General features: G+C 34.4%; 1 long non-coding RNA gene across 1 annotated transcript in view; it reads left to right on the forward strand.

Annotated features, from left to right (window-relative positions):
• LOC105370307 (uncharacterized) overlaps positions 1–9,244 on the forward strand; it is a 47,998-nt gene extending 38,754 nt beyond the window's left edge. The window contains exon 3 of the long non-coding RNA XR_001749951.2: positions 9,128–9,244. This is a non-coding gene — a long non-coding RNA (uncharacterized LOC105370307). The remainder of the gene's footprint in view (positions 1–9,127) is intronic.
• The last annotated feature ends 1,405 nt before the right edge of the window (positions 9,245–10,649 follow it).

Here is a 10,649-nt window from a genome sequence, read left to right on the forward strand (position 1 = left end):
GAACACATGGACTTATCTGTTTTTCCATTTCCATTTCACTTCTGTGGAATGTTGCAAAAGAAAACAAATTAAGTCTTCTTAATAAGGTAAATTTGTGAATTCCAGCTTCTTCTAGAGTGATGTTGTCAGGACTTCTTCTATCATACCTACAATTTCTCATTCATGGTGTTTACGATTATAATCTTCTATCACTCTTGTTAGCCTCCATGTAAATGTCTACTGCCACATTGAGAAAAGCAAGTGTGTCCTGCTGGAAATTTTGGAACTTGATTATTCTTTCCACTTTTTTCTCTTAACACACTCTTATGCAGTTGGGTCTGCACATATCATTCAATCTTTTAAAATTTTAGGACTCTTTTCCAAGTTAAAAAATACAAATCTACTATTATTTTCATCTGCTAGAATGGCATTAGATTTTGTAGATTTAATTAAAATATATTTAACAAAATATCTTTTTTTGGACTTGTTTCAAACACTGCACAATGTAAATGTTTTTGTACCTTACTTCTCATAGTTAGCATAATCTTATATATATTTCCTGCCTTTGAAATTCCACCATGATTCACAATAACATTTTGTCTATTCCTCTTTCATCATTCTGATTATACTATATTATATTGTATGTATTGATATTTTATCTCTTTATAAAATTATATATATTAGTATCACTACTATAAATATATGTACATATATATAAAACATCCTTATTTTTAAATATGGTGACGTATAAAATAATCAGGCTACACGTATTTAATGAATATGTGAGTGGGTTACGCAAAAACATTCTAATAATAGTTTTCATTATTTTTAATCTTGCATAAAGTTTAAAGTCTATGCTAATTAAGTGACCCCAAATTATTTAACTGTTTGTTTCTCAATGCTTGAATAGATTTGAATCTGTAGTGGGAGGGGAAGAAAGCGGTACAGAAAGACAAATATCATATGTACTCATTCATGTTGGGAAACTAAACAAAAGTTGGTTTCATGGAGGTGGAAAGTAGAATGATAGCTACCAGAGGCTGGGAAGAATGTGAGTGTGTGTGTGAGGGAGGTGGGTAAAGAAAGGTTGGTTAATGTGTACAAACATATAGTTAGAAGCAGTTAAGTTCTCATGTTCAGTAGCAGAGTAGAGTGGCTATAGTTAACAACTATGTATTCTATATTATAAAATAGTTAAAGTAACTACTTGAAATGTCCTCAACACATAGAAATGATAACTGATCAAGGTGATGGGTCATCTAAATACCCTGACATGATCATTACACATTATTCATATACAACAAAATATCACACATACCCAATAAATATGTACAAACATTATGTGTCAATAAAAAAAGGAAAAGTTAAAAGTTAAGTTCATGAGAAATAATTTTTAATTAATAATTTATTTTTATAATTGTTTTACTTTTGGTGAAATAATAGCTTTTGAATAACATTTTTCAAATGTGATATACTGTTATTATGTATATGAATTATTAATTTGCATATGTAATTGATAAAATTTGATAGTAAATAAATTACTTAAAAGTTTCTCAGTAAATAAAGCTATGAAGTTAAATGTTAACAACTTAATTTTTAATGTAAATTTTAATTTAAATTTTAGTCATTCTTAATCCTGCACTGACTAATAATAGTAAACTGTAAAAATAAATAAAATAAAATAAATAGCAAAGAAAACACTAAACATGTACAAAATTTTGGATTGGATTAAACAGTGTCAATATAAATGGATCATAAGTGGAGAGATCGTGATGTGTTGGATTTTTGGAAATCAGGAGTACCAGGCATGTTTGTTTTCATAACAGCTAAATTTTGATGTCACATATAAAAAACATTCTCTGATTTAAATTGACAGGATGTTATTTTTGTAGCACTCTGGGCCATTTTAATACCTCTTTTCTGTGAGCCCACAGAAAAGAAGCTAATGTTTATGTGATAAAATAAACCATATGTAAAATATTGTATCAAGGATCTTTTCAACCATATTTAAGTGTCTATCCTTTAACATGCTTCCATTTCTAGGTGAACTGATGCCTTGGGAAAATTATTTTGAATTTTAAAAAAATGGAAAAAAAAATTAAGTAATGCTGAATATAGTTGAATCTCAACAGAAAAGTTGATTGGCATTGGAGGAAAAGCAGATATCAAGTTCACTCACACAAGCATTATTTTATAAAGATACACTGCACTTATTTTTTCACTAATGCATATTTGTATGGTTTATTGAATGGTGGAAATTAACTTATTACTTTTTATAAAACTACCTGTTGCTATATTACTAATTTTATTTTATTGTTAATAAGTTTCTATTGATGCATTGAAACTATTATGTATATAAATATAGTAATTTTCACATTACATTAGTAATGCCATTATCTTATGGTGTCTATACTTTTGGACTTGTACCCCAACAGCCTTTGGAATATGAAAAGATTAAAATAAAAATAAAAATATTTATTAAGTTAAATAAAAATAAAATTAATCTTTGTATTACATAGTTTTCTCCTTCAGATATACATTTTATACAAATATTTTCTTTCTATAATGATTATAGATTTTCCAAATGTACCTGTCACTGTGTATATACTCTCTCTCTCTGTGTGTGTGTGCATGTGTGTGCGTGTGTGTGTGTAGTGAATTTGGGATTCGTTATATCTAAAATATTTCTAAATTTATTTAAATTTAATATATTTAAAATTTTCCATTTAAATTTATAAATTTTAAGAAAATTTTATATTTTACATATTTTTAAACAAGCTTCAATCTTTACCTATTTTGTTAGTTAAAGTTTTAGCTTTTTCACTGCTATGTTTAGAAAGTTAGCTTTATAGTCTGAATAGTGCTCTCTTTACCCATTCTCCATTTCGACTTTTTAAACTAATGCAAATTGATATTTTTTTTTTCCCGTCAGTTTTTAGAAAAAGTGAAATAAGAAATTAACAATTACTTTCAAAATGCTCCTTTTAGTTAGATTTTTATTTTTGGAAGAACTGTGATGCCATCTTTTGAATATGTACATTTGTCTGAGAATTGTTTTCACATCCTTGGATAATTATATAATAATCTCATAATAATAATTATATAATAACATGTATATATACTATCTACGTGTTACATGACATGTTAATAGTTTCACATTCATGTTTCACATCTTCTGAATCATATGAGAAAAGAGTTGCGTGTTTAGACCTCCATATTACAGATGTGGTGTATTAGTCCATTTTCATGCTCCTCATAAAGACACACCTGAGACTGGCAAGAAAAAGGTTTAATTGGACTTAAAGAGTTCCACATGGCTGGGGAGGCCTCAGAATCATGGCGGGAGGCAAAAGGCACTTCTTACATGGTGTCAGGAAGAGAAAACAAGGAAGAAGCAGAAACTCCTGATAAGCCCATCAGATCTCCTGAGCTTTATTCACTATCAGGAGAATAGCATTGGAAAGACGGGCCCCCATGATTCAATTACCTCCCCATGGGTCCCTCACACAACAGATGGCAATTCTGGGAGATACAATTCAAGTTGAGATTTGGGTCGGGACAAAGTCAAACTATGTCATATGGTCACTGACTTTTCATGAAGTTAGGCAATATGCCTAAGGTCATACATATTAATATAAGTGAACAAATACTTGAAATCAGATTTCCCTGCTCCAATTTCCAAGCTAGTGTATGCTTTATTCTGCTTCTTTCATGTGTTACTTACTACTTTCTTTAATATCTTCTTAACCGACCATGTTTTAAGCCAAATAAAACTGAAAGCTTAACAATAAATATAATATCGTTGTTTGAAGATGTTCTCCTCTATTCTCCATAAATGTTTTTTATTAAATGAAACTTAACGGCATATCATTCAGAAATGTTTTCAAGTTTCTAAATGCACTAAGCTTTAAATAGTTAATATGATATTTTATATTACCTTAGTGTCCTGTTAATCTGTAATTAAATACATTACTTTTTCAATTCTCAAAAGTCAGCACAGTTCAAAAATAAAATGTGTAAACATTATTTTATTTATCCGATTGTTAACTTTACCTCGTGATTACCCTATCTTGGACATTATGATAGGTTCTTAATTGCAAACAAAAAATAGATTGTCTTGTAGCATCCCATGACCTTCTATAAATTCTTATATTAACTATAATTACTACAATGTTAAGCACCTACTTACTAAGATTATTGATCCAGAAAAAGAATGCCATAATCCAATATGCCCATGAGAGAAATATGAGCTAGTCATACAATATGAGTAAGTGCTATGACCTAGATTATAAGCCATCTGCCTGGCATTAAATCATGTATCCTGTAAAAGTAAGAATATATAAGCATATTTCAATGTTTATGTGCATTTATACATGTAATCTAGTTAAGTGTTGAAGAATTCATGTCACCACAACTAAAGAAATCACTAACACCTTATTTTTTGTTATGGCTGCTGATATTCCAGTATTCAGTGGGCTAACCAGAAGAAAGGTTAATAAAATGGAAAGAAAACTAGGTATTGGGGAAGAAACTAAAAAATAATGATTTTATTTGCAAAGAACTGAGAAATTCTTTGCCGCATTGCGAAATAGGCCATGGACTCACATGACTAGCACCACATAATGTTGATGCTGGGGAAATAATTACAAGCAGCAGAGTAAAAGAGACCATTGGGACACACAAGCCCTCATTATTTCACAGGAGAGGGTGACCTAGACAATTTAACTGCACTATGTTCAAGATTCCAAAAGAGGGTACCTACTTCAGCTATCAGGCTGGACTTGCTACGAAGAACATTCCAAGGAAGATAGTGAACCTCATTCCCTTACCACATTCCATATTTATGGGTCAGCCTGAAAGGGGATAGGGCACATAATTTCTCCAAGTAATGAGGTCTGCACAGTGAGGGTCCTGGAAACAGCTGTGCCTGACATCAGCTAAATGTCTCTGTATCCTGGCTTAGTCTCATTTAAGTCAACAAAAGGGAGAAAGGGAATGAGCTTCCAAGGCATTCATATTTGATGCTCACCAAATTGATTGTCTTCTATGGAAAATGTGTGTTCTATCTTCATGTCTTTCTATGGGAATTTAAAAGGAAACATCCTAACATAATCTTCTTTTTTGACACAATGTCTAGTTTTAAGGGATTTTTGCCAGAGTTTGATTTGGTTTATATTTCAGTCTTTGGTTTATATTTCAGTTGTACTAGTTCTAGTACGATATGAGCTAGAAGAGTTAGTTTTCCAGACCAAAAGTCTTTTGATATTTGACTTATCACTTTTTTTCTAACTTCTGACTGAAGTCAACTAATGCTTGCTGCTTCCTCTTAATATTACAAAATGAGCAGCCATCATCTGGCAAAACATACTTATTTTGCTAACCTTGGAGCCTTAGACTCAGTAGGCCTTTGGGTTGTATTCAACCTGATGACTGGCATAACACAACCTAACATGACCTCAAACCTTTTATTTCATGCTGTGTTTTATACCAGACAGAAAACTAAGGCAGAGACAAGTATTTTGAGTGTTTTGTTTGTTTGCTTGTGTATTTTTTATTTTCGTTTTTGTTTTAGTGGCAGCACACAGCAGAGTTTCACTCTAGATCATTGCAAAATGGGTCCATTAAAAGTAAGATCATGGTATCTGGGATGGGAGTTATGCATGGGTTCAACAACCTTTCACACATAGCTTCAACAAACTTTCATAAACAGATCTAGTTTTTACAATTACTGAGTGCAACCTCTGCCAACAATTTTAAAAAATGCTAGAAACATGCCAGTTACCTGGAAGTGGGGAGATTACATTGGATTCCTAATGTCATGAAAAAGGCAGTATTTTCTCTGCCATAGAAGAAGTACTTATGTTGGAAATGAATTCCCACCATTGCCCACAGTATTTCAGCCATCATAATTATTCATGAAAGAACTAGTATCACATCTTTGGGATTCGTAGTCTTAATTATATGCCAAACCCAACTGTACACATAGAACTGTGAAATGACCTATGAATGACATAATGATACCACTGGCTTGGAGAATATATCCTCTAAGGCTGGTATGTTTTATTATAACATGCAGTATGTCCTTTGAACAAGGGACCAATATAGTTAGTATGTCTTAGACTATGAAGCAAAGAATAGAATTGGGATGAAAGGGTTGGGGAATTTTTCTTAGTAAACTTAATAAAATATTACTTAATTTATTTGTTTTCCTTCCTCGAATTCTTAGACTCAACTGAATTAGAGAGATTAGTGCTTAAGAAAGAGTAACCTTGGTAGAATATAACGTTGGTCCCATTGAACTGGATGTTAAAGGATGACATATGGACAATTTCAGCTTCTCATGTCACTTGTTTGACACACAATGAAGAATTTTTTCTAAAGTAGAGTGACTGGTTCTGCTTATACAAGGCAAATAGATTCTTTATATTATGACATTGCTGCTGCATAATGAGGTAAGAGCAATACCATTGAATATCTAAGTGATTCCATGTAATATCTTTCAGTATTTCCACGTATAATTTCAACAGTTAACTAGTACCACAAATACTAATAGGAGTATTAATGGTTCTGACTTTACAAGAATGAGGGTTTACCTTTCATCACGAGGTAAGATACCATATAAATAAATGGTGTTGACTGATGGCAAGGAACACATCCTGTTGGGGAGAGAATAAAGAGAGAGGGGGAAGAAGACAAACAAGAAGAAGAAAAAGAAGAGAAAGAAGATGAAGAAAAAGGAGAAGGAGAAAATGAAAAGGAGGAGAAGGAAGAAGGAGGGAGAGAGGAGAGAAAAAAATGATAAGAATGCCCATATGAATTGTTGCAATTTGTATTTATATATATGAGCTGACATGTTTTCCACTGCTACTTTTTTATTCTTTTATATAAGGTACATTGCATTAGGTTAGTTATAAAATATCAAGTTACAAGATAAAGTCCTAATCATTACGGTTAAAATCTTAAATAGGGATTCTATATATACTTGAAAAGAAATAAAAATCATAAGGTAGATAAAGAGATTAATGGGAACTGGATCTTTGTTGTGGGAAAAGGGAGAATGTATCTTTTTGTTCAATGGATTGGTGGATTATTTGAGTCAGAATGGCTGCTGTTGCAACTAGCATTAGTAGAAGTTTCATATGAAGAGTTACTGAGTACTCAAAGGGTTGACTGTATCTGAATGTCTTTGGTAGGTAGCAGGGATTCTTTCTGTCTACACTGTTCCCTTTCTAGAAAGTACTGAAAACACGGACTGATATTATGAGAATCACTGCTATCGGCTTTCTGAGTTACATTCACCAATGAGCAGTACTCACAGGATGACAGCAATACCACAGGATGTTTGGAAGGTGAAAATAAAGCTCTATAATTCAGGAGAACAATGACAAATAGGCATGTGGGAATTGGCAAGTGAATGAAGTGGTTTTTCCAGCAATTTCTGAGATTTTCCACTGCAGATGATATTCTGTCATACTAGAGAGTGCTGGATTCTGCTCCAGACAAATGTTAATTCGTCCTTTGCTCATCTTGCCCTTTCAATGAGCTAGTAAGCCTCTTAGCCTCAATATTAAATCCCGTTAATCCATAATACTTAGAGAGTTATTTCTGTTTTATTAAACAAAAGTAACACCCATCCCTACTCTCTGACTATTCAAGCAAGATATAAATCTGCATGTATTTGATCTGCTCAGACACACATGATTAAATATAATCACAAACACACAATTAAATATGCTCATGTATAACCTTAAAAAAGAGAGGAACTTTCGAAATACCTTATGATCAATTTATTACATTCTCTCGGGTTAACTTGTGAAATACACTAGAGAATAGAGCAATATCCCTAAAATTATAAATTTGGTACTTTTATTTAAAATATAGTTTTCCTAAAATAAAACTTGCCCATAATACACATGGTAAAATAATTAACATATATTGCTATGCTTTGTCTTTTTTGATTATATATTGTAAAACAAAATACTGGTTTAGTATCTTCCTTCATTATCTTTTGATTTACATATATATGTATGTGTATTTATATGTAATTTGACTATATATTTTTAAATGTTGTGTCCTTTGTGGTTAACTAGTGTGTATGCACAACTCAATGCAATGGATAGGATTTACACCATTCATCATGCAAGAATATGTGGGGCATTCATTATGTGCCAAACAAACATCTAGGCTCCAGGAATAAAAAGATAAATGGGACAGGGTGTCTAGTTTTAAATGAAAGATTTCTACTAGGATAAGAAAGCAACCATATTGAATATGAAGTCTAGTAAGAGTATGTGTGATGTGAAACAAATCTGGTCTTTCTCAGTACAAATAAAAAAATTATTCCCAATAAATATTAATTAAATTGGGATCAAGAGGATAAATCTGTTTATTTAAGAGAATAGGAGTACTAGAAAAAACAGATACACCATCTTCATAACTAGGTCAATATGGAAAATAACTTACAGGATTAAAGTTACTTTTCGTATTCGAGTAAGCAAGGAAATGCTAAAATATTTTAATCAAGGATGGGATTTGATCAGATATTTGCTTCAGAAATATTCATCAGGAAGACAGAAAAATTTGCTTAGAACCCTTTAATAATGGAGATCAGTTACTACTGTAATGTAATAAAGATATTTTAATAACCTACTCAGATGGTGAAGCTGTCCTAGATTAAATCATAGGCCCCTGGGATGAAAAAGAACCAACTTAATGTAAAAGTCTTAAATAGGAAGATTTTGGCTGGGCGTGGTGGCTCAAGCCAAACAGCATTTTGGGAGGCCAAGGCGGGCAGATCACCCGAGGTCAGGAGTTCAAGACCAGCCTGACCAACGTGGCAAAACCCTGTCTCTACTAAAAACACACAAAAAATTTGCCGGGCGTGGTGACAGGCGTGTAATCCCAGCTACTCAGGAGGCTGAGGGAAGAGAATTGCTTGAACCCGGTAGTCAGAAGTTGCAGTAAGCTGAGATTGCACCATTGCACTCCAGCCTGGGTGACAGAGCAGGACTCCATCTCAAAGAAAAAAAAGAAAAGAAAAAGAAAAAGAAAAGAAAAGAAAAAGTCTTAAATAAGAAGATTTTGCAGTCAAATGGAATGAGTATGAATGATAAATAAAACCTAATATCTTTTTTTCTTCTTTGGTTAGCCAGAATGATGGTGGTGACTTGTACAAAGAAATGTTAGAGAAAGAGCCACTGTAAAGACAACATTGGTAAGTCCACTTTATAACTTTATACATGCTGAGATTTGGTGCCATTGAGACTTCCATGAATATGTATTGCACAGGATGTGAAATATATGGTTTTAGATTTTGAAAGAGATTTGAAAGCAAATATATGTATGAAAAGCTCACTATAAAAAAGTTATTAAAGACATCAAAGATGATGTAAGCTCCTCCAACTTTTTTTTGAAAAGAAGAAGCATAAAACAAAATTCTCAGACACTAGTCTATTAAGGAAATCAATAGAAAACAAGACACACAAAAAAAGAAAGGACAATTAGGGTGGGTAAGAAGAGAATATAACGATAAAAAAAAACAGAAAAAAATGGCATTAAAAAACACAATGGAATAAACATTTCAAGAAGGAGAAATGGGTCAAGTATGTTAAATGCTCCAGATATATCAAGCCAAATGAGAAATTAGAGATAGTCATTTGAGGGAGGAGCCAAGATGGCCGAATAGGAACAGCTCCGGTCTACAGCTCCCAGCGTGAGCGACGCAGAAGACGGGTGATTTCTGCATTTCCATCTGAGGTACCGGTTTCATCTCACTAGGGAGTGCCAGACAGTGGGCGCAGGTCAGTGGGTGCGTGCACCGTGCGCGAAGCAGGGCGAGGCACTGCCTCACTTGGGAAGCGCAAGGGGTCAGGGAGTTCCCTTTCCGAGTCAAAGAAAGGGGTGACGGACGCACCTGGAAAATCGGGTCACTCCCACCCAAATATTGAGCTTTACGGACCGGCTTAAAAAACGGCGCACCACGAGATTATATCCCACACCTGGCTCGGAGGGTCCTACGCCCACGGACTCTCGCTGATTGCTAGCACAGCAGTCTGAGATCAAACTGCAAGGCGGCAGCCAGACTGGGGGAGGGGCGCCTGCCCTGCCCAGGCTTGCTTAGGTAAACAAAGCAGCAGGGAAGCTCGAACTGGGTGGAGCCCACCACAGCTCAAGGAGGCCTGCCTGCCTCTGTAGGCTCCACCTCTGGGGGCAGGGCACAGACAAACAAAAAGACAGCAGTAACCTCTGCAGACTTAAATGTCCCTGTCTGACAGCTTTGAAGAGAGCAGTGGTTCTCCCAGCACAAAGCTGGAGATCTGAGAATGGGCAGACTGCCTCCTCAAGTGGGTCCCTGACCCCTGACCCCCGAGCAGCCTAACTGGGAGGCACCCCCCAGCAAGGGCACACTGACACCTCACACGGCAGGGTATTCCAACAGACCTGCAGCTGAGGGTCCTGTCTGTTAGAAGGAAAACTAACAAACAGAAAGGACATCCACACCAAAAACCCATCTGTACATCACCATCATCAAAGACCAAAAGTAGATAAAACCACAAAGATGGGGAAAAAACAGAACAGAAAAACTGGAAACTCTAAAAAGCAGAGGGCCTCTCCTCCTCCAAAGGAATGCAGTTCCTCACCAGCAACGGAACAAAGCTGGATGGAGAATG

Source organism: Homo sapiens, chromosome 13 (assembly GCF_000001405.40).
Source record: "Homo sapiens chromosome 13, GRCh38.p14 Primary Assembly".
NCBI classification, from domain to species: Eukaryota; Metazoa; Chordata; class Mammalia; order Primates; family Hominidae; genus Homo; species Homo sapiens.